Source organism: Homo sapiens, chromosome 2 (assembly GCF_000001405.40).
Source record: "Homo sapiens chromosome 2, GRCh38.p14 Primary Assembly".
Taxonomy (NCBI): domain Eukaryota; kingdom Metazoa; phylum Chordata; class Mammalia; order Primates; family Hominidae; genus Homo; species Homo sapiens.
In genome coordinates, this window is record NC_000002.12 from 10,270,510 (window position 1) to 10,284,816 (window position 14,307).

A 14,307-nucleotide genomic window follows, 5' to 3' on the forward strand; every position below is an offset into this window, starting at 1 on the left:
CTTATATGGCCAGTCCTGCCCAAGACACCCCAATCTGGATCTTGCAAACCCAACATTTCAGGCTGGGTGGGTGTCTGCGTGTGTGCAAACGTGCACACATGGGCCCTACCTCCATTTACACTGGAAGGACTCCTCCTTAACCTCAGGAAATGGGCAGAGCGAAAGGCCTCCAGCCAGTTTCTCAGCTCCTGCCCCAGGGGGCAGGCTTGCTCCAGAGACCCCGTGGGCGAGGGCAGAAGGGAGGTGCTTCCTGGGCTTAGAGGTTGGGAAGTTCCCGCAGAGCCCTCAGTGCCAGCCCTGCGCCGTGGAGGACCATGTCCTGCAGCCAGTGGGCCCAAAGCGATCTGATCATGCTCCCTGCCAGGAAGGAGGTTTCTTGCACCCCAGCAGGTACACAGTGTTCGTTTACAGATCACACACAAGTGTTGTGCAAATTATGAAACATTCCACAACTAAAATTTCATAAAGATGAGGTCATTGTTCTCAGAGGCTGGCTGTTCACAGGTTCACTATGCCAAGCTGCGAAGGCACACACTCCCCGTGCGTCTGGAAGTCCAGGTGAGGCAGGAGAGAGTCCCAGGGTAACCTGCCTTCATCTTCCCACAAATCGGAGTCCAGCACTTGCAGCAAAGCTGGCATGAGGCTGTGATGACCCTGATGTCAAAGGTCCTTTTCAGGCCAGGTGCAGTGGCTCATGCCTGTAATCTCAGTACTTTGGGAGGCCGAAGCAGGAGGATTGCTTGAGCTCAGGAGTTCAAGACCAGCCTGGGCAACATGGCGAAACCCTGTCTCCACCAAAAATATAAAAAACTAGCCAGGCATGGTGGTGCAGACCTGTGGTCCCAGATACCAGGGAGGCTGAGGTGGGAGGATCGCTTGGGCCTGGGAAGTGGAGGTTGCAGTGAGTCAAGATCACACCACTGCACTACAGCCCGGGTGACAGTAAGACCCTATCTCCAAAAAAAAAAAATGGTCCTTTTCAGTGGTTCAGGGGACATTGTCAAACGGGCCAGAGCTGTGCTGGGCTGATGGGCTCCAGGAAGGCAGCCCCCCACAACACACACAGACAACGCACACACAAGCACACACGTGTGAGCACACATGTACACATGTGCACACACATGCACACACGGACACATGCACACATGCGTGAGCACACACATGTGCACACATGCCCACACACGTACACACGTACACGCGTGCACATACACACACATGCGCACCCAGACCCATGCACACATGCACACATGCACACAGACACACACATGTACACACATGTGCACGCACTCACATGCACACAGATACCCACACTCACATGCACACACGCAAACACACACACGCACCTCTCCCCTCAGTTGTGCGCTCAGACAGTGGAGGGGCTCGCCAGGCCTTGCTTTTCGCTTTTTCCTTCAGACTCTGGGCGATTAATATTTTCCAAAAGGCCTAGTGGCCTCCCCATCCCTTTATCACTCCTGCACTTGCGGCTGGTTTAAAAACAATTCCCAACTTCCTTTTACTCTTTCCAGCTGATCTAACTTTCCATGCTCAAGGCCAAATGACACACAAGCCCTCCCTTTTGAGTCACCAGTGACAAGTGTCCCGTGGCTTGGTGCATGGCGTTGGCTCTCTTTGCAGAGGTGGGACCTGAGGGAGGCTCTGGGAGGGAGAAGGTGGGCCGCGTGGAGGGGACCCAAGGTCTGCTTCTGGAACAAGGAGGGCTCCCCTGCCTGCCCCACCCTCCATATGCTGAATGGTGGTGGTCCCTCCTGCCCCACTGCAGCTCCCACAGAGCTCGTCTCCCCACCCTACCCCTGCCTGGTCAGAAAAACTCCATTTATCCTACAGGGTTCTGCGTGGTTGCTCCCGGAAGCCCACTAGGATCTCCCGGGTAAGTGGATGCCTGTTCCTCCCTGCTACAGGTGGAATTGTGCCCCCGTCTTGAAGCCCCCAGTACCTCAAAATGTGACTATACTTGGAGATAGAACCTTTTAAAAGGTCATGGAAGTAAAATGAGGTCATTTGGATGGGCCCCAGTCCAACAGGACTCATGTCCTTTAAGAAGAGATTAGGGCACAGATACACACAGCAGAAAGACCACGTGAGGACACAGCCACAGTACAGCCACCTCCTAGCCAAAGGACGACCTCAGAATACACCAGCCCTGCCGACACCTCAATCCTGGACTTTCAGCCTCCACGACTATGAGAAGGTAAATGTCCGTGGTTTCAGTCACCAGTCTGTGGGACTTTGTTACGCACCCAAGGGGACTGAGACTCTCCCCTGCGCTCCCGTGCCTCCGGGCCTCCTCCAGCCCAGTGAGCGCCAGGCTGAAAGGTTCTTTCCCTTGTTTCCCTCCCTGCACTGGGACTGGCCTGGAGAAGAATTTGTCTGAACGCCTTTGGTGCCTGGCTCTGCAGGTGTTCAGGAAACACTTGCTGAAGTGAATTAAATTCTTTTTTTTTTTTTTGAGATGGAATCTCACTCTGTTGCCCAGGCTGGAGTGCAGTGGCACGATCTCGGCTTACTGCAACCTCCACCTCCCGGGATCAAGCCATTCTTCTGCCTCAGCCTCCTGAGTAGCTGAGACTACAGGAGCACGCCACCACGCCCGGCTAATTTTTGTGTTTTTAGTACAGATGAGGTTTCACCATGTTGGGCAGGCTGGTCTCCAACTCCTGACCTCAGGTGATCCACCCACCTCGGCCTCCCTAAGTGCTGTGATTATAGGCATGAGCCACTGCACCTGGTGTGAATTAAATTCTTCTTGGCCTAAACACACGTACTTTATACAGCTCTGAGGCTCACAGAAGAAATACACAGTTGGTGCCGGTGCAGTGACTCTGGGGCCACCAAAGGGTACATCAGGCCCCATCAGATCTAGCCAGCGACCTGCAGCCCCCGACAAGCCTTCCTGAGCTTCCACCCCGGCTGCAGCCTTCTCCCCATGTGCCCACGTACTTGGGCTGCTACTGCTGCCTGGGTCTGTCCGCTTGTCAGTCAGTGAAGTTTCCCCAATCTGTTTATATTAGTTATGCTTATCATAATGGCATTGTGTAATTGAGTATACACAAAATGATAAAATATGAATATGAAAGTGATTTCTATGCACACTCATTAAATGCCTTGAAAAGACTCATTAAAGGTGAATTGCTTTACAAAATTGCTGTTGAGTTAAGCTTGGTGTGACCGCCAGTCTCCAAGATGGCCCCATGCTTCTTATCTCTTGGAGTTCACACCGTGTGTGGCTCTCTCCCATGTCGAATCAAGACCGACTGGGAGACATAGAATACCATGGGAGTGACACTCTGTGTGCTCCAAGGCTGGGTCACAGAAGGCGTTGCAGCCTTTGCTTGGTTCTCTGGGGTCTCTGGCTCTGGACGAAGCTGTCACACCATGAAGATGGCTCTTTGGAGGGGCCACATGGAGAGGAGCTGAAGCCTCCTACCCGCAGCTAGCACCAGCCTCGGGAATGAGGCAGTTTGGAAGCGGCACCTTCAGCACCAGGCAATGCTCCTGAGGGCAGCTCCTGCTGACGTCGGCTGCAACCTCAGGGGAACCTTATAGTCCAGTTGCTCCCACATCCCTGCCCACAGACAACATGAGAGAGTGTGAATGAGGGTCGGTGCTGTAAGTGCTGGGGCGGCGTCGTTGGCTGGGCAGCAATAGCCAACCAGCACATCACAGGAAACAGGGGCCTAAGTGGAGTCTGCACCTTGTTGTTTACAAATGTTTTTAAACTCGCATTATATTATTTTTTTTTTTGAGACAGGGTTTCACTGTCGCACAGACTGGAGTGAGTGGCACGATCTTGGCTCACTGCAACCTCTGCCACCTGGGCTCAAGCCATCCTCCCACCTCAGCCTCCCGAGTACCTAGGACTACAGGTGCATAGCACCGCACCTGGCTAATTTTTCTGTATTGTTAGCAGAGACGGTGTTTCGTCATGTTGCGCAGCCTGGTCTTGAACTCCTGTGCTCAAGTGATCCACCCATCTTGGCCTCCCACAGTGCTGGGATGACAGATGTGAGCAACCGTGCTGGCCTCTCATTAGTTAAGAAGCAGAGGCTCCGAGTCAGGGGTCCCCCGGGCACCACAATGCCAGAGTCGGTGTGTACTCTAACCACGTGGCCCAGGCCCAGGGAAGGCGTCGCACAGACATCCGGATATGATGGATGAAAGTACTTTTGTATGTTTTAGGTTAAAAATAAAAATATAAGGATATATGTGAACATTAAAAAAAATTTAGGCCGGGTGCAGTGGCTCACGCCTGTAATCTCAGCACTTTGGGAGGCCGAGGTGGGCAGATAATGAGGTCAGGAGATTGAGACCATCCTGGCTAACACGGTGAAACCCCGTCTCTACTAAAAATTAGCTAGGCTTGGTGGTGGGTGCCTGTAGTCCCAGCTACTCGGGAGGCTGAGGCAGAATGGTGTGAACCCGGGAGGCGGAGCTTGCAGTGAACCCAGCCGAGATCGTGCCACTGCACTCCAGCCTGGGAGACAGCGAGACTCTGTCTTGAAAAAAAAAATTTCTCATTGTAACCAAATTTTTGCTAAACAAAACCAACGCCAGTCCTAAAAGTTTGGGAAGAACATTTCTGAGGGTTTCTCTGAATACCTGTGGACATCCCTTCATGCAGTGACCTGAAGGTTGTGTGTCAATCAAAGTTTCAGACATTCGAATGACACTTTAAATGTCCAATTAATTAGGCAGCTTTGCACAGAAGGGGCCCATGATGAACCCTTTTGTTACCGGAAAGGGGTCCAGATCCAGACCCCAATAGAGGGTTCTTGGATCTCTCAAAAGACAGCATAAAGTGAAAGCAAGTTTATTAAGAGACCAAAGGAATAACAGAATTGGCTACTCCACAGGCAGAGCGGCCCCGAGGGGTCCACTTTTATGGCCATTTCCTGATGATATGCTAACCAAGGGGTGGATTATTCATGAATGTTCCAAGAAAGGGATAGGCAATTCCCAGAACTGAAGGTTCCTCACCACTTGAAACCATATAGGATAACTTCCTGACGTTGCCATGGCATTTGTAAACTGTCATGGTGCTGATGGGAGTGTCTCTTAGCATGCTAATGCATTATCATTATTGTATAATGAGCAGTGAGGACGACGACCAGAGGTCACTTTCCTCGCCATCTTGGTTTTGGTGGGTTTTGGCCGGTTTCTTTACCACGTGCTATTTTATCAGCAAGGTCTTTATGACCTGTATCTTGTGCCGGCTTCCTATCTCATCCTGTGAATAAGAGTGCTTGACCTCCACCGGGCATGATGCCTGTAATCCCAGCACTTTGGGAGGCTGAGGCGGGCGGATCATGAGGTCAAGAGATCGAGACCATCCTGGCCAACATGGTGAAACCCTGTTTCACTAAAAATACAAAAATTAGCTGGGTGTGGTGGCACTTGCCTGTAGTCCCAGCTACTCGGGAGCCTGAGGCAGGAGAATCGCTTTAACCGGGAGGTGGAGGTTGCAGTGAGCCGAGATCACGCCACTGCACTCCAGCCTGGCAACAGAGCAGACCTCCATCTCAAAAAAAATAAAAAAATAAAAAAAATAAAAAAGAATGCCTGACCTCCTGACCTCCTTGGAATGCAGCCCACTGGCAGTAGGTCTCAGCCTTATTTTACCCAGCCGCTATTCAAGATGGAGTCACTCTGGTTTGAATGCCTCGGACACTTTGACCTCTTCTAGCTTCGGATCCCAAAGTGGCTTAACAGGGCAAACCTGTACCCTTGGTAGCCTGGACCAGAAGTAAGTGCTCCCTGCCAAGAAGTACCCTGCTGCTGCCCCCGCCAACTTTGGCTCAGTGTCTGTTTGAAAAGAACTGCATGCTTCTTCCTTTCCGTTTTCATGAACTGAAGAGGGCTGACCCGGCAGCTCTGCAGCCCCAAGCTGGCGGGCAGGTGACGGTGTCAGCATCACAGTCCCAGGCTCCGTCTCGGCTTTTCTTCTTCCCTCCCGTCCGCCCCAGTGGCTCTTCTCCTCCCACAGCTCCCTCACCTCCCCATGGCTGCCACCCCTTCACCCCTCGCCCAGACCTCTTTCCTGCATCCTGTCACCTGAGGGATGAACACTTCTTACGTCCCTGACCCTCGCCGCTCCAGTGCCCTCTGCCAAGACTGGTGCTGCCCTCCACCCACCCCTGGGCCAGGCCCGGGTTCGCCTTCCCTCTGCCTGCCCCTGCTTTCTTCCCTTCCAAACAGGGACAGAGTCGCTCAGGCCCCCGCCACCCTGTGCCTCCCCTTCTGCTTTCATGCCTGGCCCCAAGCCCTCCTGTCAGGACAGAGGGGCTTTCAGGCATTCAGCAAGCACTTAACACCTGCTGTATGCAGGGCACTGTCCCTACTCCGGAAGCTCACGCCAGCCGAGGGGGCGGTGGGTGGTCAGATCAGCTCACACCTGGTCAGTTGACCACAATACCAGGGGTGCTATTGGCGCCTAGGAGTGAGTCTCGGGCCACCTGCCTGACAGAGAGTCGTTAAAGTCAGGTCCTGAGAAGGGGCTGAAGCTGGGCAGGAGGAGAGTGGGGCCAGAGCATTTCGGGCAGAGCAGGTGATGTGTGTGGACACCCGAACCTGAGTGGGGGCCCTGCAGGACTGGAGGGGTGACGTGGGCTCTGCTTTCTTAGAGAGTGGTGGGAGGGGATGAGGCAGGGAGCGGGGATGAGGCAGGGAGCCGGGATGAGGCAGGGCATTCCATTCCTCGGAGCCTTGGGGGGCTTTGGAGGCTTGGAGCAGGGAAGTACTGGGATCCACTCGTGATCTAAGGGCTGAATTTGACACACAGGGGACCCACAGAGAAGCTCCACGCAGGCCGAGGGAAGGCCGCTGCAGTGGCTGTGGAGGCACAGATGAGGAGAGCATGTTCCTTCGAGGGATGTTTAGGAGGCTGGGCCGTGGGGACTTGGTGGTGGACCAGATGGAGGACGGGGGAGAAGCAGGCCACAGGTGACTCCCAGCTGCAGGTTCAAGGCCTCAGGGGGCCAGTGACGCCAGTTCCCAAGACGGGGAACGCCGGGAGCAATGGGCCCGGGAAGGAAGAGAATTGATGAATTTGGGACACGTTCAGCCTGGGACACCTGAGGACAAGTAGGTGGAGATGCTACGCTGGCAGGCAGAAGTGGGGTCCAGGCAGAGGCAGAGGGAGGAGGTGGCTCGCCTGCTAGAGGTCACTGAAGTGAGCCATGGCCAGTGGATGGCACCTGGCAGACCTGCGTGGGAAGGAATGCTCCCCTGCTGAACCCTAATCTCTGGAGCGAGGGAGGAACTTCGTCCTGTGGCAGGCCTGCCCGGCAGTGTTGCTGCATTCCGGGCAGCGGCAGCATCGGGCGAGGGTATGGGGTGGGAAGAGCGGACTCTGGTCTCAGCCCTGAGGAACTCTGCATCTGAGGAACAGGTGGAGGGGAAGCCGGCAGAGGGGGCTGAGCAAGAAACCCTGAGACATGGGGAGGACAAGGCTCTGTCCAGTACCGTAGAAGCCGCAGGAGGAGAGCTTCAGGCCAGGGCAAGCAGCCGAGTCAGAGCAGGGCGGAGGAGTGCCCACTGGACTCAAGTAAGAGGAGGGTGGAGGAGTGCCCCCTGGACTGGGGCCAGAGGAGGGTGGAGGAGTGCCCCCTGGACTGGGGTCAGAGGAGGGAGGAGGAGTGCCCCCTGGACTGGGGTCGGAGGAGGGAGGAGGAGTGCCCGCTGGACTGGGGCCGGAGGAGGGAGGAGGAGTGCCCCCTGGACTGGGGTTGGGGGAGGGAGGAGGAGTGCTCGATGGACTGGGGTCAGAGGAGGGCGGAGGAGTGCCCGCTGGACTCAGGGACACGAGGCCATCGGGGGCTTTGGGGGAAGCAGCTCTGATCATATGATGGAGGCCACACCAGAGTGCACCAGGAGCAAACAAACCCTGAGGCTTTTCCCATGACAAACTGTCCTAAAAAGGAAAGGATAGGCCCATCAATGAAAAGGAGCGTGGAATCCTGGGAAGAGCTGACTGTTCTGTGTTTTCAGATGTGGGTGGTGGAGCACGTGGTCGGTTATGATTGGGGTTGGCTGTGACACTATTTCGTTAGGAGAGAAGTTTAGAGGCCAGCAGTTTGTGGTGGGAATGGCAGCGCCTCTGTCATCAGACACCCACGCTGCCTCTTCCTTTCTGCTCACTGTCCTGGCCACTTCCGCCTGTGTCTCACTGGCCAGATCCCAGACACATGGCCCCACCCCGCTGCTTGGGCTTCTGTGGCCGAGGAGGAAGAGGAGAAGGGAATTGGTGGGTGACTGGCAGCTTCTGCCACATTCCGCTTAAATATTAATGAGAAATGCCAAAGTCACAGAGAAAGGAAGATGGTTTTTGGTTTCAGGTTCCTGAGAAGGCAGGGGTAGGGGGAGAGGCAGCTGTCCAAAGCCCAGGCGAGGAGACCAGGCTTTGGGAGAAGGACAGAAACGGCTTCCATGGCTCCTCTCCTGCGGGAGGGATGAGGGAGGAGGGGCTCGAGTCTGTAGATGTGGCCACAGAGGTCAAAGGCTCTCTGTCTGATGGCTTCTACATCATGAAGACAGCCGGGAGCTCTACCAAGAGTGTGAAGTGTGCAGAACAGGTCAGAGAATTTCAGAGAGTGGAGAAGATACAAAGCCCTCCTTAAACAAGATGGGGAATCAAATGGAGAAGCATGTGGGGGTTGCAGGTTAGTTCAAGATAGAACTCAAGAGCGCAGTTGACCAGGTAGATGTGGGCTTCCAGCAGGCTGGGAAGTTGGGGAGTGGACTCCCAGTAAGGCCAAGGAACAGCCTCGGAGGAGCCACTGGGCGGGCAGCTTGGAAGAGGGGCCAGCTCAGGAGGTGGGTGACTGGAATTCGGATTTGGGAGATGGTGCATTCCGAGGCAATGTCCAGGCTGTCCCTGACTGTGAGTGGAGCTGATGGCTGAGATGGAGGGAGATGATGTGGTGGAGAAGAGGAGGTGGAAGACCCAAGAAGCCAGGGCACCAAATGGGTCATCCACATGGCACCTGAGTTGTTTAGGATTGGGGCAGGAATTGGGCGTGAGCAAGACATAAAACAACGTCCTCGCAGCTCTGCTCGGCTCAGGGCTGTGAAGAGGCTGCCATGGGAAAGCAGTCGTGAGTTGGGTGTGTGACTCCCAAGCCCTGTATGGGACCCCAGGTGGTCTCCTGCGCCCATCCCTCCCCTCACTGGCCCAGCCTACCCAGGACTTCCACGGGCATCTGCTTCCCTCAGCTCAGAACCCCCAGCTCCACCCTTTGTAAGTTAAACTCCCAAACCCTAGCCTGGCGTTTGAGGACGCCTTTACCTGCAGAGTGCCGTGGCTCAGAGCAAAGACCCCTGATTCCGACCCCCTGGGTCTATTCTTGTGCCTGCCACTTAATATATGTGGGGCCTCAGCCAAGTTAACAAACCGCTTTGTGCCTCAGTTTCCCTCTATAAGATGGCGATAGTAAAGGACGTCTCTCTAGGGATTAAATGAGGTAACCTACATAAAGTACTTACAGGTGTTAGCTGCTATTTTAACTCCTCCTGGCCTCTTCGCACACGGGGCAGGCTACTGACCTCTTGGACCACTCGGAAGCCTCGCATTTTCCTGACTCCTGCCTCGGAAAGCTCTGCATGCCTTCCTCTCCTCTCTTCCTCAGTACGGAGCACCATGCCTCGGTAAGCTCTGCTATGCTAGTCCAGTGATGACTGGCCTGCCCTTCCCACTCCCACAGCTGGGCCCTAATTCAGGACAGCCTTGCCTCCTACCTGAACTCACACAAGACTGGCCTCGCTCATCTGTGCCCTCCCGCACTTGTTCTGATTCAGCTTATGCCCCCTAAAGAACAGTGGTGGCCTCTAGCCCACCAGGGGTTCCCCACCTCATTCAGAAAGGTGTGGCTCTTTCTTTCCTTTTTCTTTTTTCTTTTCTTTTCTTTTTAAAATTTTGAGATTGGCCGGGTGCAATGGCTCATGCCTGTAATCCCAGCACTTTGGAAGGCTGAAGCAGGTGTATCATCTGAGGTCAGGAGTTCGAGACCAGCCTGGCCAACATGGTGAAACCCCGTCTCTACCAAAAATACAAAAATTAGCCAGGCGTAGTGGCAGGCACCTGTAATCCCAGCTACTTGGGAGGCTGAGGCAGGAGAATTGCTTGAACCCAGGAGGCAGAGGTTGCAGTGAGCTGAGATCATGCTATTGCACTCCAGCCTGGATGACAGAGTAGTACTTTGTCTCAAAAAAAAAAAAAAAATTTGAGATGAAGTCTCACTCTGTTGCCCAGGCTGGACTGCAGTGGCATGATCGCGGCTCACTGCAACCTCTGCCTCCCAGGTTCAAGGATTCTCCTGCCTCAGCCTCCTGAGTAGCTAGGACTACAGGCATGCGCTACCAAGCCCAGCTAATTTTTTTTTTTTGTATTTTTAGTGGAATAGAAGTTTCACTATGTTGGCCCGGCTGGTCTCAAACTCCTGACCTCAAGTGATCTGCCTGCTGTGGCCTCCCAAAGTGCTGGGATTACAGGCGTGAGCCACCACACCCAGTCGTTTCATTTTCTTTTCTTTTCTTTTCTTTTCTTTTCTTTTCTTTTCTTTTCTTTCTTTCTTTCTCTTTCTTTCTAGAAAGAGCTGAGACTACAGATGCACACCACTCACCTGGCTAATGTTTTTAAAAAATATTTTTGTGGAGATAGGATCTTGCTATATTGCTCAGGCTGGGCAAATACTCCTGGTTTCAAGGGATCCTCCTATGTTGGTCTCCCAAAGTGCTGGGATTACAGGTGTGAGCCACTACAGCTGGCCCAGAGTGTTGTTTTTTTGTTTTGTTTTGTTTTGTTTTGCAGTGGTGTGATCTCGGCTCACTGCAACCTCCACCTCCCGGTTTTAAGTGATTCTCCTGCCTCAGCCTCCTAAGTAGCTGGGATTACAGGCATGCACCACCATGCCTGGCTAATTTTTTGTAGTTTTAGTAGAGACAGGGTTTCGCCATGTTGGCCAGGCTGGTCTTGAACTCCTGACCTCATGTGATCCATGCACCTTGGCCTCCCAAAGCGCTGGGATTACAGGTGTGAGCCACCATGCCTGGCCAGCCGTGTCTGTTTCTTGATGACACTCTAACACCCCTGATGACTGTTCAATACCCTCAACGACTGTCCAAGATGCACCATGACTGTCCAACACTCTTGATGATAGTCCAGTACTTTCCATAAGTTTCCACACCCTCCATGACTGTCCAGTACTCTTCATGACTGTCCAGTACTCTCAATGATTGTCCAGTACATTTGATGACTTTCTAATACTCTCCATGACAGTTCAAAACCCTCCATGGCTGTCCAATACATTCCACAATTGCCCAGTACCCTCCAGGACTGTCTAACACCCTCAGTGAGTGCCTAACACCCTCATTGACTGTCCAAATGAGCATCGTTTATGGAGGGAGCTGGTGCTGGCTGAAGAGGGGTGCTCAGTGGGGATATATTTGCATTTGGAAGGAAGAAATGTGTTTGAAAAATGGAGAAATGTAGGAGGGGCCTTCCCGGCAGGAAGGAGCACTTGGGCACTGGCAGGTGCTGGCAGGCAGCAGAGGGAAGCTGGGGAGGGCAGGCACAGTGGCCAGCAGCAGGAGGTGAGGCCTGAGACTTTTCCTGCTCCCTGGACTGATTTTCCAGCAGGTGCCTGCCTTGTTCACTGTGGGGTCCTGGTGTACCCTTGATGACTATCCAATACCGTCAGTGACTGTCCAGTACCCTCGATGAGCATCCAATACCCTCCATGACTGTCCAATACACTCAGTGCATGTTCAGTACTCTCAATGATGGTACAATGCCCTCGATGAGCATCCAATACCCTCCACGAGTGTCCAGTATCCTCCATGAGCATCCACTACCTCCATGAGTGTCCAATACCCTCCATAACTGTCCAATACTCTTCATGACTGTCCAATGCCTTCAATGGACATTCTAGCTGGGCCACACTCTCAAACACCCTCCTACAGCACCCTTCCATACATCCTTGTTCATTTCCCCAAACTCCCCCAAAAGAACAAACCAGCATGGTCCTGCTTTGTCCTGCAGACCCCTGGGAAGGTCTGACCCCACTACAGGCCTCCAGGTACCTCCAGCCTGTCCAGTCTCCTCCATGGTAACTCCCACCCACCCACACTGCTCTGTGCATCTCTGCCTCTGTTGGGCAAGGCCCCTAGAGCCTTGAGCTGACGTCTCACCCACGTGGCTCAGCACAGGGCCATTAGTACCTGCCGACACCCTTCCCTCACCAGGCTGCAAGAACAGAGCCAGTGTGCATGTTAGCTGCATCCCTGGAGAAACTGGGGCAAAGATGAAAGGCTGACTCTTGATTTGGGAAGTGAAAGCCCAGGGCTGTGAGGGTGAAGCTGGGAAAGAGGCCAGGCAATGCTGTGCACAGCCACCCTGACCACCACTCCCAAAGGAGATGCCATGGCCCCACCTCAGAGAGAAAGGAGGGTGCTGTCTGTTGCAAACCCAACGTCTCCCAGTCCCCCGGGACCCCACAGGGAAGCCAAGTGGCATGTCCTGGACGGTGATGTTTCAGCCAAACTCCAAGGTGAGAGTCAACCTGCATTAGGGGAAACAGCAGGCAGCCGGGAACCTGAGAGGTGCCCGGGATTGTGTTCACAGCGTAAGGGTTCCCAGCATGGGGATGGATGAACGCCGGGCTCAGCTGCCTTCCACAAGACAAAGCAGCCACAGGCAGGGGCCGGCCCTCTGTGACAGTGAGGGATCTGTGTAGAAAGGCCTGGCCACGGCCTCCTTTCTCTCCTCAGGCTCTCAACGAGCACGCCTGGCTGAGGAGCTTCTTAGAGGCCTGGGAATGGGTCTGGAGGAGGAGCCAGCACTAAAGACACAAGGAAAGACAGTTTCACAGTCACCGCTTTGCAGCAAATAGAGCCACAGGCTGCCCCAAGGGCCACCACATAGTCTTTTCCCCCGAACCCCGCCCCACCCCAACCCTGACTCACCCTGACTCACTTCCAGTGGGGCCACCACTGCTGGCCCAGCAGCCCTTCTTTGGCCTGCTGGTGTCTTGGGCATTGCGTGTGTGTGGGGGGGTGTCCACCTTCTCTCTCCTTTCACCTGCATCAGACCACTACTCGCCTTCTGTATCCTTCCACCCAGGGCCCTCTTCACTTTGCATTCTTTTTCTTTCACATTAGACCCTGAGGGTCAGGTTCCCTTTCTGCAAAGGCCAGGATAGCTTGATTTCTAGAACTTCCTAGGTGTAAGGGGAGATAGTTGCTTGCTGTCCCGGGAAGTGTGCTCAACCCTGGAGTGGGTTGGATCCTTCTTATGCAGCAAAAAAAGTGAAGAGAGTGGCCAGGCTCAGTGGTTCATGACTGGAATCCCAGCCCTTTGGGAGGCCAAGGCAGGAGGATCGCTTGAGCCCAGGAGTTTGAGACCAGCCTGGCCAATATAGTGAGTTTCCATCTCAACAAAAAATCAAAAAATCAGCTGGGTGCAGTGGCACACACCTATAGGGCCAGCTATTCAGGAGACTGAGGTGGGAGGATCCCTTGAGCCCAGGAAGTTGAGGCTGCACTCCAGCCTGGGCTACTAAGTGAGACCCTGTCTCAAAAAAAAAAAAAAAAAGCTTGAAAGAGAAAAAAATTGCAGTTTCCTTATGAAACCAGGCTGCGCGTTGCTTTCCCATCTCACATCACTGAGAGGTTTGTCGTCTGGGCTCTAACAACAGGCCGGGATCCAGAGATGAACAGGGCCACGTGCCTGCTCTCAGCTCTGCTTGGTGGCATCTGAGTGAAGACAAGGGTGGTTTAGCAGAGGGACGTGCTGGCCGCAGGCTGCTTGGGGTCCCTGGTGACTCCCAGTGGCCTCGGTGTGTTGGGGCAGGGTGGGATTGTGCTTCTCTGGCCCAGCCCCATGACCTAGGCTTTAAGGCAAACAGTGGGGCTGCTTCAACACTGTGGGTGGGGGGAACTTGGAGCTATAAGATGCCATCCGAGCCTCCGTTCAGAAAGACCCTGGACTCCCACCCCTCTGGAACTGAGACCTGAGGAAGGGCACCCAATCCAGACCCTCCCTTTCCTGGTGCTCCAGCCCCTCTGCCATCCTGGTGCGGGGAGCTGAGGTCTGTGCATGGGTTTGCTTTGTCAGAGCCTGAGGCAGATGCCAGGGTGAGCACAAAGCCACACTGTGTTCCCTGGGAGGCGCTATGGACCCACACAGCCGGCTGAGCCCCATCTCGGCTCTGAGGGGCTCTGCGCCAGTGGATGCCTCCGTAGGGCCTGAGGTCAGAACTCCCTGCCCACCTGCTGCCTGCATACCTGGCAGACACC

The 14,307-nt window shown here is 54.2% G+C and overlaps 1 long non-coding RNA gene and 1 pseudogene across 1 annotated transcript, besides 3 other annotated features; both read left to right on the plus strand.

The window, feature by feature from the left end:
* Positions 1,166-1,666: an enhancer, noted in NCBI's record as "H3K4me1 hESC enhancer chr2:10411801-10412301 (GRCh37/hg19 assembly coordinates)". NCBI's record gives its function as "activates a minimal SCP1, AML or CMV promoter by ChIP-STARR-seq in primed H9 embryonic stem cells {active_cell/tissue: H9 hESC(primed)}" and the evidence as "EXISTENCE:reporter gene assay evidence [ECO:0000049][PMID:30033119]".
* On the plus strand, positions 1,892-3,160 carry LOC124907731 (uncharacterized). Its single transcript, XR_007086209.1, has 2 exons — positions 1,892-2,209; positions 2,793-3,160. It is a non-coding gene; the product is annotated as an uncharacterized LOC124907731 (long non-coding RNA).
* RN7SL66P (RNA, 7SL, cytoplasmic 66, pseudogene) lies at positions 10,119-10,382 on the plus strand (annotated as a pseudogene).
* Positions 12,300-13,499: an enhancer, noted in NCBI's record as "CDK7 strongly-dependent group 2 enhancer chr2:10422935-10424134 (GRCh37/hg19 assembly coordinates)". NCBI's record gives its function as "activates an origin of replication core promoter dependent on BRD2, BRD4, P300/CBP, MED14 and CDK7 cofactors, with strong dependence on CDK7, by STARR-seq in HCT116 cells {active_cell/tissue: HCT116}" and the evidence as "EXISTENCE:reporter gene assay evidence [ECO:0000049][PMID:35650434]".
* Positions 13,558-14,158: an enhancer, noted in NCBI's record as "H3K4me1 hESC enhancer chr2:10424193-10424793 (GRCh37/hg19 assembly coordinates)". NCBI's record gives its function as "activates a minimal SCP1, AML or CMV promoter by ChIP-STARR-seq in naive and primed H9 embryonic stem cells {active_cell/tissue: H9 hESC(naive and primed)}" and the evidence as "EXISTENCE:reporter gene assay evidence [ECO:0000049][PMID:30033119]".